Consider the following 19,518-nt stretch of genomic DNA (forward strand, 5'->3'; position numbering starts at 1 on the left):
CAAGAATGGTGATTTTTAAGGTGTTCCATGGAGGAAGAGTCGGGATGAAGAGCCTCTGGGAGAGAAAGGAGAATGGCCTGACACCAGGACCACTGAGGGGACAAGTGGCTCAGCTCCTTGTGTGCCCTGAGTGCTGCGCAGGGGGCCTTGAAGGCCAGGTCTTTCCCCAATATCCTGCAGCTTGCCTGCTGTTTCTGGCCTTCCAGAAGCAGATACAGTGCTTCTAGAAATAACATATTAGGTTGGTGCAAAAGTAATTGTGGTTTTGGATTGTGAATTTTAAATCATAACTAGGCTCAGACACATCTTTATTAATCAAGACCATTCCAGTCAACACATTTTCACCAGTGAGAAATAAGTTTTATTCTTGTAGCGTAAAAATCTGTGCTTCAGGATTTGACAAACTCTTGGAAAGCACTTTCTGCATCCTGCTGGTTGTGGAAGCGTTTTCCCTGCAAAAAGTTGTCGAGATGCTTGAAGAAATGGTAGTTGGTTGGTGAGAGGTCAGGTGAATATGGCAGATGAGGCAAAACTTCACAGCCCAATTTGTTCCACTTTTGAAGTGTTGGTTGTGTGACGTGCGGTCAGGCGCTGTTGTGGAGAAGAATTGGGCCCTTCCTGTTGACCAATGCCGGCTGCAGGCATTGTAGTTTTCAAAGCATCTCATCGATTTGCTGAGCATACTTCTCAGATGTAATGGTTTTGTGGAGATTCAGAAAGTTGTAGTGGATCAGACTGGCACAGACCACCAGACAGTGACCAGGACCTTTTTTTGGTGCAAGTTTGGCTTTGGGAAGTGCTTTGGAACTTCTCGGTCCAACCACTGAGCTGGTTGTCGTATAAGAACCACTTTTCGGCGTATGTCACAATCTGATTGAGAAATGGTTCATTGTTGTGTAGAATAAGAGAAGATGACACTTCAAGATGATGATTTTTTTGATTCTCGCTCAGCTCATGAGGTACCCACTTACCGAGCTTTTTCACCTTTTCAAATTGCTTCAAATGCCGATCAACTGTAGAACAGTCAACGTTGAGTTCTTTAGCAGCTTCTCGTGTAGTTGTAAGAGGATCAGCTTCAGTGATTGCTCTCATTTGGTCGTTGTCAACTTCTGATGGCCGGCCACTACGCTCCTCACCTTCAAGGCCCTCATCTCCTCTGCAAAACTTCTTGACCCACCACTGCACTGTGTGTTTGTTAGCAGTTCCTGGGCCAAATGCGTTGTTGATGTTGGAAATTGTCTCCACTGCTTTACGACTTACTTTGAACTCGAATAAGAAAATTGCTCAAATTTGCCTTTTGTCTAACATTTCCATAGTCTAAAATAAACAGCAAGTAATAAGTCGTTAGCAAAAAAACCATCAAGCGAGAAATACGCATTAAAATGATGTATAACCACATTTATTTAAGAACATGTTCCAATATCAAATGGCAAATTTCAACAATGCAGAAACCACAAATATGTTTGCAGCAACCTGATGTAACATGCTATGCTGATGAACTAGGGCTTTGAGGCTTTGTCACTTTTCCAAAATTTTCCTTTGGAGGGACAGAGGCATGTTCTGAATAATCAGCCATCAGTTTTTTTCTGTGTGACTATTTTATTTTCTTGGTTTACATCAGACATTAAAGGATATTTGTTAATTTCCTGCCAGGTGACTTAGAACAGTAGTGCACATGGAAGCTTTTAGGTTTCAGTAGTCTATCAGGTGAGGTTTCTTTACTTGTGGGTTTGATGAAGGTGACACATTTTATTTTTAAATTATCTTTGATCTTTATTCATATAACCCCCAGAAAAGACTACAGTACATTATTTCCTTGGATTTCGGTTGGTCTCTGGTCTTCCCTTCAGCTTGTGCCTATTTAGGTTTTGAACGTGGTGAGGGAGTGGCCTTCCTTCTGTGCCACTAGTTCTTGCAGTTCATGACAGTTTACCAACCATGATGAAAATACTTTGTTCCCTTACCTTTTTGGCTGGGCTTTGAGGTTTTGTCAAGGCACTTTATACTGGACTATCGATATGGCAAGGAAAGCTGAATGCCAGAGTAACAGAATATTATTAGAAACCGTAAGTGAATATTCTATAGAACTTAAGACTGTACTTTCAACCCATCTGCAGGCCATTGTTTTTACTTTTATAGCATTTTTGGTTTGCATAAAGTGGCATTACTTACATGACCATGAAAGAATAGCTTGGGAATCACTTTGATTTTCTTTTGGTGAATGAAGGTCATTTGCTGATAATTCAAAGTCTTTGTAAGAGTTCATATTGTGCTCAAGATGGAAGTAAATGCTTGCCTCTGTTTTTCTCATTGGCTGTAGATAATGTGGTCTAACAAATTATTACAGTATATTTTAAAAATACAGTTTGCAGTACCTCTGTTGGGCATTATATCAGCCCTGCGAATTATTATCCTCACATTACTCGTTAAAAAGCTGAAATAAAGGCAGTAAAGTAATCGCTTGAAGCCATGTGTTTACTAAGGCTTCAGTCCTTATGTTATCTCAGAATTTGGTATGGCTTAGGTATTATTTTGATCAAGTTTCTCAAATTTTATGCTACATGTATACGAGGTGTTAGAGTTCCACGGGGAAATGGAATGTACTAGACGAAGTTTTCTTTCTCAGCTATTTCTCTTCTTTTTATTATGAATATTCTGAAATTTTCATCATTTCCATTTTAAGACTTACTTTCGTCTTTTTGTCCTATATGTGAAATTTCTGTACCATTTTACAGTTTACCAAATGCCATATATATGTAGCAGTTTCATACTCATTCTTTTTTTTTTTTTGATACAGAATCTTGCTCTGTTGCCCAGGCTGGAGTGCACTGGTGCGATCTCAGCTCACTGCAACCTCTGCCTCCTGAGTTCAAGTGATTCTCCTGCCTCAGCCTCCCGAGTAGCTGGGATTACAGGCGTGCGCCACCATGCCCAGCTAATTTTTATGTATTTTTAGTAGAGACGGGGTTTCACCATGTTGGTCAGGCTGGTCATGAGCTCCTGACCTCAAATGAACCACCCGCCTCAGCCTCCCAAAGTGTTGGGATTACAGGCGTGAGCAACCACGCCTGGCCTTCATATTCATTATTTCTTTTGATTTTTTTTTTTCGTCTCTACACAGACTTGATTCGTAGATGTCCAGGCCCTTTCACAGCTGCCTGTTGGTTAGACCCAGGAGTTGGCAAACTATGGGCTGGGTCAGATTCCGCCTACCACCTGTTTTCTATAAACAAAGTTTCACTGGCACGTGCTGTACTTTTTCATTCACCCATTGTTAATGGCTGTGTTTGTACTACAGTGGCAGCAGTGGAGTTGTGATAGAAACTGTCTGGCTCACATACCTCAAATATTTACTCCTTGGCTTTTTATAGAAAGTTGGCTGACCCCCAGGTGAGATGTGCTTTCTTCCTTGGGGCCTCGACCTGGCCCTAACCTCTCCATTCCCTGTGCGTTCTGAGGCCCATGTTTGTTTTCTCAGTATTTTTGCCATGTAGGACTTCTGTCTTCCGTCTTGAAAACTGAAGTTTCTATCTGGTGTCATTTTTCTTCAGGCAGAGGAACACTTTAGTTTTTTGTAATTCAGGTGTGTTACTGACAAACATGATCTTGGATTTTGTTGTCTGAAAATTGCTGCCTTCGTTCCTGAAGATTTTTTTTTTTCCCATGGATACTGAACTCTGGGTAACAGATTTGTTGTTTCAGCATTTGAAGGATATTGCTCCACTGTCTTTTGGCCTTCACTGTATCTGTTGATTGTATCTGATGATGACCTCCATTATATTCTGATCAGCACAATTTCAGATAGTTGTTCCCCGTCCGCTTCCTAGATTTTTGCCTTTATTTTAGGTTTTTGGCATTTTGACGGTGATTATCTCGGGTGTGGTTTTCTGACTTCTCGAACTTGAAAATTTATGTCTTTTACCAAATGTGGGGAATTTGCGGGCATTATTTCTTCAAATATTTTGCTGCTTTACTGTTTCTACTCTGCCTTGGGGCTCCAGTTACACCCATGTAGACCTTTTGCTGGAGGTCCTGGATTTGCTCGTTGCTTTCTGACCTGGTCTCTGCTCTGTTCTTCAGGTTGAATGGCGTCTGCTGTGTCCTAAGTGTTCACTGTCTGCCTCTCTACTCTCTTGTTCGTCCCCGTGCAACAAGTTTTTAGTTTGAGAATTTTTTTCAGTTCTAGAATTTGTTTCGCTTAAAAAAAGTGTTTAGTTCTCTGCTAAGATTTTATATTTGTTCATTCACTACAAGAATATTTTTCTTTATATCCTTTAGCAATAATTAGAATAACTGCTTTAAGGTCCCATCTGCTGATTCTTTATTGTGAGGATGGGTTACGTCTTCATGATTCTTTTTATTTCTAGTGACTTTGAATTGTGTCCTGTTTACTGTGGGTTGTAGACTCTTGATCATGTTAGGTTTCCCTGAAGAGTATTGATTTGCTTGTTTGACAGGCAGTTAACTTGGTCAGGCTCAAATTGCCAACTCTCCCTTTGGCAGATGCTCAAATCTCAGTCCACTTATTTTAGACTCAGCTGATCTGAAGTTGGCCTTGCAAGTTCTGTTCTGCCGTCAGCCAGAGATTTGGGCAGAATTTAGAGACAGAATTCAGGGTCACACTCACCGTGGGTTTCCCCCAGCTTCCCAGCAACTCTGGTAGAACCAAACCCTGTGGATTTTTGTTGGAGTTTTAGCTGTTCCACATAACAAAGTTGGCTGCCATTAGCTTAATAGTTGAGAAAGCAGGAGGTGCCCTGCCCGTTCTTTTTTCCAAATGTCCATCCTTCCCCAGAATATACCTGATGCTAACTAAAAAGTGATTCAGGCAGGTCTCAATCGATAGAGGTTTACGTAGCTGCAGTTGAGGACGTGCCAGGTAACAGGAGCATTTGTGCTTTTTCCAAAGCTTTGAGAAGTTCAGTATTTAAAGGGGAAAGAACAAGCAGGAGGGGAAAAAAGGGAGGCTGGGGAGCAGTGAGGCAGATGCTTAAACATTGTTGTGAGCCTCCGATTGGCCTCAGTAAGCCTGCATTTTACACGGGAAAGGGGGAGTAGAGGAAAGTCAGTTGTGCGTTTTTCTCAGGGTTCTCTTTCACGGGAAGGGTGATTTCTGCTCTTGTCCTTGTCTGTACCTATGAAGATAAGCTGGTACTTGACATTGCCAGGGTGAGATACAATAGAACTCGGTTTTAGGGCTAGTTTTTAGTGGGGGACATATGTTCTGATAGATTTAGGGGCTCACAAGAAATCTCCTTGTGAGCACTTTGTGAGGAAGGCCATCTGGGGAGCTATGTGGCCTTCTGTAGTTGTGGGCACCTGGCGTATGGATGAGGCCATGACACAGGGTTGTGGAATGACAGCTCTCTGTTCGGCAACAAAAGGCAGACAGTGTTGCACAGTTCAGTTCCCAAGCTTCACTTTCCCACTGGCATAGTGAGTTTGGGTCCCAAGATTCTGTTATCTTTCATGCTACTTTTGAGTGCCTCTAGGCAGTTACTTTCTATATGTTTTTTAAAGTTTCGATGTTATTTGCAGGCGAGTCAGTTTGATAGGAGTAATTTGGCTATAGCCAGATTTATAGAACCCATTTCCTTTTAGTTTTTCAAATCACAGTTCTTCCTTTCATCAGCTGTAGAGGGCTCCTTGCAAGCATGCTTTGTCTAGGCTTTCAGTTCAAAACAATAGAAACTGCAATCTGCCTTCCATGCCCTTGTGCCATTTGCTGCATTAGTAGCGGCACACTGTCATTTGTGTTGTGAGGTTGTGATAGCTGGAATGTGCCCAGTTTGCCTAGAGCAGCTTTCTCAGGTATGCGTGCATTCGGCGCTTGTGCACACGCTGCCACCACGTGCGTGATGCTGGCTGGCTGCTGATAGAGCCTGTCCTGGTGGAGCTTATAGTCTGGTGAGGGAGACAGATAATTGAAAATTGTATAAATAGTTAGAAAGCTACAATTGCAGACCTTCTTACGAAAGAAATCATATCAGGCACCAAGAGCAAACTTCAGGGGAAGATCACTGAGCACTGAGGGGTAAATGGGAGGTAACCAGGCAAAAAACGAGAGGAGGTTTTTCCTCACACCAGCACTTCGTCAATTGTCTGACACTGAGTTTCCAGTGGTTCAGTTCTATTCGGACATTTGTCTCCCACGAGACTGCCACATTTCAAACCCAGCTGCAAATGGGGTGCCCAAGCTATATACTCCTACCTGACTGAGTACAGATTTGAGGGTTCCCATGACTCCCTTCAGGTTTGATAATTTGCTGGAATGACCCATGTATGTAACTCAGGAGAGTGCTTGACTTCCTGGTACCAGTTTATTATGAAGGATGCAACTCAGAATGAGATGGATAGAAGAAAGATGTAGGGTAAGGGATGGGAGCAGAGTTTCTAGGCCCTCTGGGTGCAGCACCTCCGTGCTTTCAGCAACCCAAAATCTCTCCAAGCCCTGTCCTTGGTGGTTTCTAATGTAGGCTCTGTTAGGTAGACATGCATGATTGACTAGATCACTGGACATTGCTGAGTGGCATGATCTCCAGCCCCTTGTCCTCCCTTTAGGTTGCTGGTTGGGGCTGAAAGTTCCTGTGATCATGGTGGTCTTTGTGACACCTAGCCCCCATCCTGTAAGCTGTCTAGGGGCCGACCCAGAGTTACCTCGTTAGCATAGACTCGGGTATGACGGAAAGGGGTTCATGATGGGTAACAAAAGACACTTCTGTCACTCAGAAAATTCCAGGGGCTTTGGGAGCCAGGGACAGTTTATCTGATATCACAGGAGAGAGAGCACCCTGAGGTGGGCATTGGCTGTGGCTGGAGCCTGTGAATGGAGAGGAGTGGAACAGTAGGAGCCCGGACGGGCAGGCGAGATCAGGTCCTGGAGACTTTGATTGGATCTTAGGTGACTGTCAAGAGTAGTTGGAAGCCGCTGATGGATTTGAAGCTTGGCAGTATCATAGTCGGCACTCTTCTGTAAAAGGAACCGTATGCTCTGTGATGAGTGGTCTGGGTGGGGCAGAGGGCAGGAGGACACAGAGACTCCAGAAAGGAGGATATTGAATTTTGTCGAGATTCTTTTCCGTGTTAAATAAATATCCGTTACCTTAAAAGCCACTGACTTATAATCATTCAGTGGTAATTTTGTGGAGGTGTTTATAAAAGTTACTTAGCAAGTCTGTTTTTGCTTAGGCATTGTAGTTAGTGCTTCTGGGATCCACGGCTGGTTGTAGGCAGCGTCTTCTCCCAGAACCACTCTGAACCAGGAAGTAGGTCACTACTTTCACATACACTCATGCCTGCATGCATTCATTCTCCCGGAACCACTCTGAACCAGGAAGTGTGGGTCACCACCTTCACATACACTCATGCATGCATGCATTCATTCTGTTTTTGTTTTTCCCCCAGAATGACCCTATGCCTAGAATTCTTTTGTAGCTTATATGACTTTTTCCAAGCATTCCTTTATCCCCAAAAGGGATCTCTTTGTCTGTGGTTGCCACTGTAGTTGATACTTCCAAAGTGGGAGGAGTGCCCTGGGGCCTTGTCCTCCTGGGGTCCTTGTGTGGTCCTGGAAGGTGCAGCGGGTGATTTGCTTAGCACTGGGGCAGAAGCCTAGATGGCATTCCATAGAAAGCACTAGTTAAGATGGCATAAAAGAGTTAGTCTCATTATAAAATATCCAGAAGCTGTAGAATAGGACAGAGTGAAAAACCACCAATAAACTTTTTACCCAGATGTAATTATTGTTGATACTGCCTTCCACTTCTCTAAGCTTTGGTGTATGGGAGAACACATGCATAATTAGGGCCAGGATTGAGGGCCTGCCTCTAGTTAAGATAAGATAGTGAGTGCTCTCTCAGGAGAGCCTGCCTGTTGCATTTGGGCAGTGAGGTAACCTGATTTGACCTCAGTATGGGGCAGGTGTGAATAGCACAGGCAGAGGCTTCTCCTTCCTAGATGTCCAGTACAGAAGACATTACATGTTTTGCTGCAAATTAAATGATTGCAGATGTGAAAAGAAGTTATCCCAGAAGAGAGCTGTAGAAGAATTCTAACCACTTTAATGTCATTAGGAGAGTTTTTCAAATACTTTAACGGCAGCTCATGTCTGTCTGATGGCTGCCTTACTATAAATATGTACAGTGAACTTCCATGTACAGACCTACTATTTATTGAATTCTTAGTGTGTTCCTGGTATTTTTTCAGTTATTAACTCATTTTATCCTTTAAAGGACCCCATGAGGCAGGTGTTTAAAGATAAGAAAGCTAGGACACCAAGAGGGTGAGGGATGTGCCCAAGGTTACACAACTGGTAACTGGGGCCTCAGATTTGGAGACAGGTTGTCTTCATTCGAGGTATGTATGTGAAAGGTTGATTCTGAGAGTCCCTGATTCATAGTTCCACCTCTTTCAGTTGGCAGTGCTTTTCGCAGGCCTGGCAGCTTCTCACCCCACCCTCTGCTGCCCTAAGGCAGCCCCAGCGAGAGCCCCCAGCCAGTTAGGTTCCTCTCCCAGGGCCAGGCCCAGCAGCAGCTGGAGCCCAGGCCCCCTTCTCCTGTTGGGGGCAGGGCCCCTGCCTCACTTTGGGACAAGAAAGCCTTAGTGGGGAGAAATAAGATAGTGAGTGCTCTCTCAGGATAGCATTTGAAATGCAGTTTTCCTTCAAACTATTGTTCTATGTGTCGGAGAATTCCCTGTACTACATGATTTACTGTAGACCCTGTTACAGTATGATTTAGAGAGTCTTTGGACTAGTCTGGGAATGTGGAACAGTGGTTTGTAAAAAATTGCCTCTATGGGAAAATGAATTCTTGGAATCTAATAGTATCTTTTAAACGAGTTTTTAAAATAAAACTGATAAGTTGGGAATTTGCTTCTAGTTTATGATAGAAAGGAGGTTAAATTCTGTTGAAAATAGAACCTCAGAAGCCCTCTTATGGAACATCCTTGTTGTACCAAATTTTATTCTTACTTATTTTGATGGTGACTCAGTGGTGTTGTAATACTTCCCCTAAAGAAATACTAAAATACCCAGTAACTCTCCGTCTCTTTGTTTAGATGCCAGCGCATGGGCTGGCAAACAGTGGAGATAGCAGGATTTGCCCTGTTCCCGTCTCAGATGTACAGCTCTTGAAATAGTGAGGGTGCCTGGATCACTGTACCCCAGAGTCTCCACCAAGCCTGGGACTACCACACTAAGCTTGTTGTGTGTAACTGTTGCTTGGGGCAGCTGCGACCATTTCACCATTCCTGCTTGAGTGTTCTGGGTGCTTTCCCCACCCCGGGTCCCCAGCCTCCCCCGATCCCTATACTTTGTGCTGCTTTGGCGATGTTCAGGGCCACCCGATGACCTCTCGCAACCCAGTTATCACAGTTCAAATGTCTCAGAGCATTTTGGCTCTGCTGCATGCCACCATGTGATACATGGGACGCCTTTTCCTCATGGAGTTTCACATAGGTTTCTGATGGTTCTGCCGTGTTCTCTGGCTACCTGGGAGATCACAGGATGCCACGCCTGTGGAGGACTGTGAGGGAAGCCTACCCTTCTTGTAGCTCAAGTTGAACCATTGTGGTGCTGGTTCATGGGTGCTATTAGTTTAGAGGGCAAGGTGGTGGTGAATTCCATCTCCAGTCCTTTACTCAGATTGTTCTAATATGTTGTACATTTTCTGTAAGATGATAGTGAAAACAGTACATCAAGAGAAAAATTTTCTTCTCTAGAGACTCATTCTCAGCATATTTGTTGTTTGAACTGTTTTTAAATAAATCGGTTAACTGCAATGTTTGTAATTTTCAGTTTCTATTCTGGTGACAGTTTTTTTAAAAATGTGATTTTGAGTCAAGTTGTTTGAGAGGATATGGGTGCCACTAACATGAAGGCCGGGCTCAGAAGAGGATTCGGGCTAAGGCGCTGAGTCACTAACATGAAGGCCGGGCTCAGAAGAGGATTCGGGCTAAGGCGCTGAGTCGCTAACATGAAGGCCGGCCTCAGAAGAGGATTCGGGCTAAGGCGCTGAGTCGCTAACATGAAGGCCGGGCTCAGAAGAGGATTCGGGCTAAGGCGCTGAGTCACTAACGTGAAGGCTGGCCTCAGAAGAGGATTCGGGCTAAGGCGCTGAGTCGCTAACGTGAAGGCCGGGCCCAGAAGAGGATTCGGGCTAAGGCGCTGAGTCGCTAACGTGAAGGCCGGGCCCAGAAGAGGATTCGGGCTAAGGCGCTGAGTCGCTAACGTGAAGGCCGGGCCCAGAAGAGGATTCGGGCTAAGGCGCTGAGTCGCTAACGTGAAGGCCGGGCCCAGAAGAGGATTCGGGCTAAGGCGCTGAGTCGCTAACGTGAAGGCCGGGCCCAGAAGAGGATTCGGGCTAAGGCGCTGAGTCGCTAACGTGAAGGCCGGGCCCAGAAGAGGATTCGGGCTAAGGCGCTGAGTCGCTAACGTGAAGGCCGGGCCCAGAAGAGGATTCGGGCTAAGGCGCTGAGTCGCTAACGTGAAGGCCGGGCCCAGAAGAGGATTCGGGCTAAGGCGCTGAGTCGCTAACGTGAAGGCCGGGCCCAGAAGAGGATTCGGGCTAAGGCGCTGAGTCGCTAACGTGAAGGCCGGGCCCAGAAGAGGATTCGGGCTAAGGCGCTGAGTCGCTAACGTGAAGGCCGGGCCCAGAAGAGGATTCGGGCTAAGGCGCTGAGTCGCTAACGTGAAGGCCGGGCTCAGAAGAGGATTCGGGCTAAGGCGCTGAGTTCCGTTTGGGGTTGCTGTGCATTTCAGTTGGAGATGTCACAGGGGAGGGTGGAAGCGGATACTGGGAGCTGCAGACTTCCCACCCGGCCTACTGCATGTGTGGGAAGAGGTGTGGCCCAGGTAAAGGTTAGGTTTGGATTGACAGCTCTCCTGGTCACCTGCCTCATGTTGCTTGCCCATGTCTGTCCCAGTGTCCTCATCTATAAAGCAGGGGTGCTGGTGTCACCCACCCAGAGTCTTGCGGAGGTAAAGTGGCCTGGTACTTACGGAACCATCTGCAAATGCTCGGGGCCCTACTTGGCGTCTGGAGCTGAGTTCTCCTGCAGCCTCTGTTCTGCCAGGGCCCTCCCTGTGCACCATTTATAACTTCAGTTGTGAAAATGTAACTTCGCACTGGCTTTGGAGGGCCCTGAGTGAGCTGGCTGGTGTTCGTGAAAGAAGATCTGTTTTCAGTCACATTGGTGAGGGACTTTTTTCCTCACCCTTCCCATTTCTGCAGCTTTGTCTTCACTTGATTTCACTTTCTGCCCTTAAACTCGGGGACATTTTATGACTGTCTTTAACTGGGGGATATTTTTCCTGTGGAAGGTGGGGTCATGGTGCTTTCTTTTCAGTGCTGCGTTTCTCTTGGCTCTGTCGTTTGGGGATGTCTGACAGGCAGTTGACTAGCCATGGAATCAGGTTGGAAGTAGAGAATGATTTAATGAACTTCATGAATGGTGTAATGAATTGGTATGATATTTCATTCGTTGTCTGGATCTTTTTAATGTCGATATTTTAATTATTTTTTTCCTAAAATAGCTGGAGGCAACTTATTTTTAACCGCCAGCTAGTTAAGCCATCATTGCCTGTATTTGGAATGGTAGAAAACAACCAAATGTGTCTTTAGTCTTATTCTTATCCTACACTAATCAGTTCCTTGATTAGTAGGCTGTAGCTATGGAGGAGGCGGTAGCTACGGCATAAACCAAAGAAGGCAGGAAGGTTTCACTTGGAAGGCGATGGAGAAATAGACCAAACGTTCAGGAAAGAAACATTTTGGATGATTAAGGAAGCTTTATAAATGGCATGTAGGGAGGCACAGTGATTGGAACTGCGGGCGCTTTGATGTTTTTAGCCACCATGCCTTCTTTCATAGAGGGTTACCTATGGCATGTTCTCCCTGCCCACACTCAGGTTCTGTCCTGAGCCTGCTCCGGTTCTCAGTTGATGCAGTATGGGCTCCACCATCCCTGGTCTTTCAGTGTCACAACCAGTTGTTAGCTCCTGCCTCTGAAGTCAGCCTTTCTGGATCAGATCTTTCTTGATTGTTCAGCTTGTCTTTTCGTGTTTGTGCCGATCTCTGTGGAGACCTTTAGTTGGCGTGCTTCAGGAATTCACTGGCATCTCCTCCTTCCTCCTCTTCCCTGCTCACTCGCTCTCTTCGTATTACCCACCTGTTGATTTCTTTTTAGAAACCTTTAGTGTATCTTTAACTCTTCCTTTTCCCCCACCTTGAATCATTTGCCGAGCTACCTCTTCTGTGCCTGACCTGTCCTGAACGCTGTAGTTCAGGTCTTGTGGGTTTTCATGGTGTCTGTGCGCTAACCTAACTGGGCCCTGACTTCTAGTTGGCTCCTGTTCTGTCCAGCTTCTCCACCAGCACTGGTCCTCCTGAAATGGTTCATCCCAGAAACTGGGGGTGACACCGCTTTATTCATTTATTCACCAGCTGGTCTTCAAGACGTTTGGACAGGACCTGTTAAAATTGTGGCAATTTTTGCTTCTTGAAAACAGCTAATTTAGATTGGTTCCAAAGTTGTAATAATCTACAGATGTCCCTCTACAGATTGGACCTCCTTTTTGGCCTCTGTCCTCAGGCCTTGGCTTATGAGCCTTTCTTGTTGCTGCCTGGTGGGGCTGAAAGTGGGATTTTCCCCCCACCCAGCTCTCCTTACTATTCCCTTTGTTTGGAATCACTTCTGCTTATCTTCTTACTAAAATCCTACTTAATCCTTCAGTCCCAGTGAACATACCAATTCTTAGTACAGCCTTCCCTTTGTCTCTTGTGTTTTGATTGAATGTATGTCTTGATTTTATTTTAATGGTAAATGCCTTTCAATGTATTACAGACATCAGTAGACTGAGTTCCCATTTGTTGACTTGTATATGATAGGACTTCAGTGTAGTGTATCAAAGAAAATATCCAATGTGTTTATAAGTATTTAATGTAATTGTTATAATAGTTAAATATCATGTAATGATTTTGTTCAAAAGTTAATTATAAAGCCTAAGATAATAGGGAGGAGGTGGAGCAAGATAGCCAAATAGAAACCTCCACTGATTGTCCTCCCCACAGGAACACCAAATTGAACAACTCTCCACACGAAGAAATACCTTCTTAAGAATCAGAATCAGGTGAGTGATCACGGTGCCTGGTTCTAACTTCATATCACTGAAGGAGAAACTGAAGAGGGTAGGAAAGACAGTCTTAAATTGCTGATACTACTGCTCCCTCAACTTCGGCAGCAGCCACGTAGCACAGAGAGAAAACCTGTGCACTTCGGAGAGGGGGAGGGCTCAGTAGTTGTGAGACTTTGTATTGGAACTCAGTGCTGCCCTGTCACAGTGGAAAGCAACATTGGGCACAGAGGTAGCATTTAGACCAGTCCTAGCCAGAAGGCTAGTCCCTGGTCCCAGCAGTTGGAACCTGAGTTCTGGCAGGCCCCGCCACTGTGGGCTAAAATGACCTGGGGTTCTAAATAAACTTGAAAGAGAGTCTAGGCCACAAGGACTGCACTTCCTGGCTAAGACCTAGTGTTGTGCTGGGGCTCTGAGCCAGTGGCCTTGGGGGGCCTGCAACCTAGTGAGACCTCAGCCGGGGCAGCCAAGGGAGGCCTTGCACCACCCTCCCACAGCCACAGGCAGTGCAGCCTGCAGCTCCAGGAGAGACTCCTCCCACAACCACAGGCAGTGCAGCCTGCAGCTCCAGGAGAGACTCCTCCCACAACCACAGGCAGTGCAGCCTGCAGCTCCAGGAGAGACTCCTCCCACAACCACAGGCAGTGCAGCCTGCAGCTCCAGTGAGACTCCTCCCACAACCACAGGCAGTGCAGCCTGCACCTCCAGGAGAGACTCCTTCCTTCTGCTAGAGAATAAGAGGAGAGGAAAGACGGCTTTGTCTTGCAGCTTGGATACCAGCTCAGCCACAGCAGGATAGAGCATCAGGCAGAACCCTGAGGCTCCCGGACGACATTTATAGACATACCTTGGACCAAAAGGGAACCCACTGCTTGGAAGGGAAGCACCCAGTTCCTGTCAGGATCCATCATCTGCTGACTAAAGAGTCCTTGGGCCCTGAGTAATCAGCAGTGGTACCCAGGCAGAACTCACCATGGGTCTTGCATGAGACTCAAAGACGAGCTGGCTTCAAATGTGACCCAGAGCACATTCCCAGCTGTGGTGGCTACAGGGAGGGACTCCTGCTTGAGAAAAGGAGAGGAGACTTTGTCTTGCAGCGTAGGTATCTGCCCAGCCACAGTGAGGTGGAACATCAAGTGGGCTCTTGGGAGTCCCCAGTTTCAGGCCTTGGCTGTTAGACATGATTTCGGGACCTGCTGTGGGCTAGAAGGCAGCCCACTGCTCTGAAAGGAGAGTCTCAGGCCTGGTGGCATTCACCACAAACTGACTGAAGAGTCCTTGGGCCTTGAAGGAACATTAGCAATAAACAGGCAGTACTTGCTGCAGGCCCGGTGGTGGCTACAGGGAGAGGTTTCCTGCTTATGGAAAAGGGGAGTGAAGAGTGGGAAGGACTTTTTCATGTGGCTTGGGTGCCACAAGAAATATTCAACTGCAGTAGAATAGTGCACCAGCTAGATTCCTAAGGTTTCAGCTTCCGGGCTCTGGCTCGCAGATGGCATCTCTAGACCTGCCCGGAGCCAAGGAGAACTCACCGTCCTGAAGGAAAGGACACGTGCCCATCTGGCTTTGCCACCTGCCGATTGTAGTGCCCCAGGGTCTTGAGCAAACATAGGCAGTAGTTAGGAAGTGGTTACCATGGGCCTTGGGTGCAGTCCAGTGCTTTGCTGGCTTCAGGTGTGAACCAGTGCAGTCCCAATGGTGGTGACTACAGGGGTATTGTGTCATCCTTCTCTAGCTCCAGCTACTCATCTCACACACACACACCCCTCTCTCTGTCTTTCTCTCTCTCTGTTTGGGAGAGAGTAAGGGAAGAGAGCAAAGAGTCTCTGCCTAGTAATTGAAAATTCTTCTGGATTTTGTTCAAGAACACCGTGGTGGTTCCTATGTGAATCAGCAAGAGTCACAGCATTACTGCGTGTGGGGTGCCCCAATTTAATGCAGATACAGCTGCAGTGAGACCAAAAACTTAAATTGCAACACCCAAGTCCCTTTGAATACTGGAAAGCCTTCCCAAGAAGGATGGGTACAAACAAGCCTAGGCTGTGAAGACTACAATAAACACCTAGCTCTTCAACGCCCAGTGCCCAGACACTGACAAACATCCACAAGCATGAAGTCCATCCAGGAAAACAGGAACTCGCCAAATAAAGCTACCAGTAAACAATTCTGGAGAGACAGATATGTGACCTTTCAGACAGAGAATTAAAAAGTAGCTATTTTGAGGAAACAATGAAATTCAAGATGACACAGAGAAGGAAATCAGAATCCTATCAGATAAATTTAAAGAGATTGAAATATGAAAGAATCAAGCAGAAATTCTGGAGTTGAAAAATGTAGTTGACGTACTGAAAAATGCATCAAAGTCTCTTAGCAGAATTGATCAAGCAGAGGAAAGAATTAGTGAGCTTGAAGACAGGCCATCTAAAAATACACAGAAGAGACTAAAGAAAGAATCAAAAACAATGAAGCATGCCTACAAGATGTAGAAAATAGCCCCAAAAGGGCAAATCCAGGAGTTATTGGCCTTAAGGAGGAAGTAAAGAGAGACATAGGGGTAGAAAGTTTATTCAAAGAGATAACAGATAGCTTCCCAAACAGAGAGAAAGGTATCAATATTCAAGTACAAGAAGGTTATATTAATAAAACACGAAGTAGATTTAACCCGTAGAAGACTACCTTATGGGATTTAATAAGCAAACTCCCATAGGTCAATGATGAAGAAAGGATCCTAAAAGCAGAGAGAGAAACAAATACCATACAAAGATGCTCCAGTACATCTGGCAGCAGACTTCTCAGTGGAAAGCTTCCAGGCCAGGAGACTGTGGGCCTGACATATTTAAATTGCTGAAAGCAAAAACCTTTTATCCTAGGATAGTATATCTAGCAAAAATATTCTTCAAACATGAAGGAGAAATAAAAACTTTCCCAAACAAAAGTTGAGGGATTTTATTAACACCAGCCCTGTTCTACAAGAAATGCTAAAGGGAGTTCTTCAATCTGAAAGAAAATAATGTTAGTGAGCAATAAGAAATCACCTGAAGGTACAAAACTCACTGGTAATAGTACTCAGAAGAATACAGAATAGTATAACACTATGTGTAAACTACTCATATCTTGAGTAGAAAGGTTAAAAGATGAACTGATAAAAAACTACAAGTTTTCAAGACAGTACAGTAAGATATAAGTAGAAACAACAAAAAGTTAAAAAGCACAAGGACAAAGTTAAAGTGTAGAGTTTTTAATTAATGTTCTGTTTCCTTGCTTGTTACATTGTTTACACAATCAATGTTGTCATTTAAAAATAATGGGTTTTATTATTTGGAAGTCCATGGTAACCTCAAATTAAGAAACATACAATAGATCCATAAAAAATAAAAAGCAAGAAATTAAAACATAAAACCAGAGAGAATCACCTTTACTAAAAGGAAGACAGGAAGGAAAAAAGGAAGAGAAGATTGCAAAACAAGAAAACAAATGACAAAATGGCAAGAGTAAGTCCATGGTTATGAATAATAACATTGAACTTAAATGAACTAAACTCTGCAATCAAGAGCCGTAGAGTGGCTGAATGGATTAAAAAAAACCAAAAAGACAAAAAACCCAATGATCTATAAAGACACCTATAGACTGGAAATAAAGGAATGGAAAAAGATACTCCATGCAAATAGGAACCAAAAAGAGCAGGAGTAGCTAGACTTATATCAAACAAAATAGATTTCAAGACAAAAGCTAGAGACAAAGAAAGTCATTATATAATGATAAAGGGGTCAATTCAGCAAGAGGATATAGCAGTTGTAAATATGCATCCAACATTGGAGCACCCAGATAATATAAAGCAAGTATTATTAGAACTAAAGATAAACCCCAATACAATAATAGCTAGAGATGTCAACACACCACTTTCAGCACTGGACAGATCTTTGATACAGAAAAGCAACAAAGACACTTGACTTTATCTGTACTTTAGAACAAATCAATCTAAAGATACTTACAGAACATTTCCTCTAGTGGCTTCAGAATGCACATTCTTTTCTTAGCACATGGATCATTCTTAAGGATCATCTATATTAAGCACAAAACAAGTCTTAAAATTTTTTTAAAAATGAGATTCATCTCTTAAAAAAATATAATTTTATCAAGATTCTTCTGACCACAATGGAATAAAACTAGAAATCAATAATGAGGAATTTTGGAAACTATGCAGACACATGGAAATTAAACAGTGTGCTCCTGAATGACCAGTGGGTCAATGAAGAAATTAAGAAAATTTAAAAATTTCTTGAAACAAGTGATCGTGGAAACACAGCATACCAAAACCTATGGGGTACAGCAAAAGCTGTATTAAGAGGAAGTTTGTAGCTGTAAGCAACTACATCAAAAAGTAGAAAAACTTCAAATAAACAACCTTAATGATGCATCTTAACAAGAAAAGCAGGAGCAAACCAAACCCAAAATTGTAGAAGGAAAATAATAAAGATTACAGTGGAAGTAAATGAATTTGAAATATTACAAAAGATCGATGAAACCAAAAGTGGCTTTTTTGAAAAAATAAAATTGACAAACCTTTAGTCAGACTAAGAAAAAAGAGAAGACCCAAATAAATAATTTTTCTTTTTTGTTTCTGATTTTAAAACTGATACTGCAGAAATTCAGACTCACTAGAGGCTACTGTGAACAACTGTATGCCAGTAAATTGGAGAACTTAGAAGCTTTGGTAGTCAACAAGAGAGACCTGCCAGAGGTCATGTGGTTACAGGGGCCCCGTGTCCCTGTGTGTGTGTGTGCATGTGTGTGTGTGTGTCTATCTCCACCCTGAGTGGGAGCAGGAGGCTACTTGTGAAGTCTCATCTCTGAAGGCCATCTGTTGATCACGACAGGCTGCTGGGTTCCTTGCGGCTGGAGATGTGTATGGAGGTTCCCCCAGCACATTGCTCTGTCTTCATGGGCATCTCAGTTTCCATCTGAAATCACTTGTTGATGAACTGAGAACCATTCCTCTGTCTAGTTAGCAGTATCACTAGGAGTAAACATGTTACGGGGGAAACTGCTTAGCATTTGATTTCTCAAGTGTTTTTTCTGAGACCCAGTAATCTTCTGGGTAAGGAAAAAAAACCCTTGGGTACCCCCTTTCACCTTGTGCTGTTGCTGTTACTGTGAAGATGTAGATGGTATGTGTGACTCTAGCTGTCATCAGATCATTCATGGACACAATGCAACATCACACCTGTTAGATTATGGCTTTGGTTCTGCCAGGAGGCCTGGTGGGAGCAGCTGGCATGATGCGTGCTGCCTCTCATGACTCATGTGCACCATCCTGCTGCCCAAGGCCTTGATGTAGCCCCTGTGGGGTGCCCTGTCTGCATGTTATCACACTCTGAAGAGCAGCCTATGGAGCACAAGAGAGAACCGAGGGGAACATCCCCTCCTTTAATTCTGAACTCATATTCTGTAATGGTGATTTCTGTGAGTCTGGCTGGTTGTCGTGTGAATTCAGGTGTCTAGGCAGCGTTATGTGTGGAATATGTTGGCACGTTATGCTCGAGTCCTAGGGCTCAGCTGACCTTTATGAGCTTTATCTGCTACTGAATTAATGAACAAGGGCTTTATCAGCCATGAAACTTTGGTGATGGCAGTGACAGAAAATTCTTGGGAGAATTGGTCTGGGACTGAAAGAGGTAATAAAAATCTAGAGCCTAGGCTCAGTGCGGTGAATTAAATAGGAAAAACCACTCGTACCGTGAATTGTTCGTTTATAAGCTATGCTGAAATATGACTTAATTTTCATTAATTGATGAAATATCAGAAATGAAAATCAGTTTATCCAGATTTCCTTTTCTGAATGGATCGGGGCTGTGGCACTGGACCAGGTAGGAGATGAAATCTTAGCATAGCCCATGGCCCAGCACTGAGCAGTATTTCTGCAATCCTAAGAATTTAACCCATTGTGGGTAGCACATATCCAATAACTTTCCTGTGCCACATCTCTGGCAGTGTTTTCTGTGCGTATACCTTTGGCATTCCATCATTACCCAGTGCTCTTCAGTCCTCCTAGTGAGGCATGCAGGGTCCTGTCATTCTAGAAGCCCGCCTCTTCCTGATATTTCACTGTGTCTCTGAGGATGAACATCACCTGCTCAGATGTCAGAAGATTCTCAAAACCTGTGTGTCTTAAAGGGCGTGTTCTTCCTCCTCTGTAGGCTGGCAGCAGTTTGTAGCTCCTGTCACTGAGACTACATAATTGTCTTCAGTTTACTTCTGTACAAAATGATAGAACTCACTTTAAGGTAGAGACTGTTTCTTACCCTGTTTTTAATCTGTTCCCAGTGCCTTGTAATGGTGCTGCATACATATAGTAGTTGAAATTAATTTGAGTCAGTGACTACCCT

The 19,518-nt window shown here is 44.2% G+C and overlaps 1 protein-coding gene across 60 annotated transcripts in view; it reads left to right on the forward strand.

Annotated features, from left to right (window-relative positions):
• Nucleotides 1-19,518, forward strand: part of ARHGEF7 (Rho guanine nucleotide exchange factor 7) — a 191,116-nt gene that overhangs the window by 129,878 nt on the left and 41,720 nt on the right. For 2 of the 60 annotated variants that reach the window (NM_001354061.2, XM_047430746.1), the window contains one exon: nucleotides 13,071-13,129. The exons of the other annotated variants lie outside the window; for them this stretch is intronic. In NM_001354061.2, coding sequence (NP_001340990.1) covers nucleotides 13,071-13,129 — 59 coding nt within the window. The remainder of the gene's footprint in view (nucleotides 1-13,070; nucleotides 13,130-19,518) is intronic. 60 annotated transcript variants of the gene reach the window in all.

Source organism: Homo sapiens, chromosome 13 (assembly GCF_000001405.40).
Source record: "Homo sapiens chromosome 13, GRCh38.p14 Primary Assembly".
NCBI classification, from domain to species: Eukaryota; Metazoa; Chordata; class Mammalia; order Primates; family Hominidae; genus Homo; species Homo sapiens.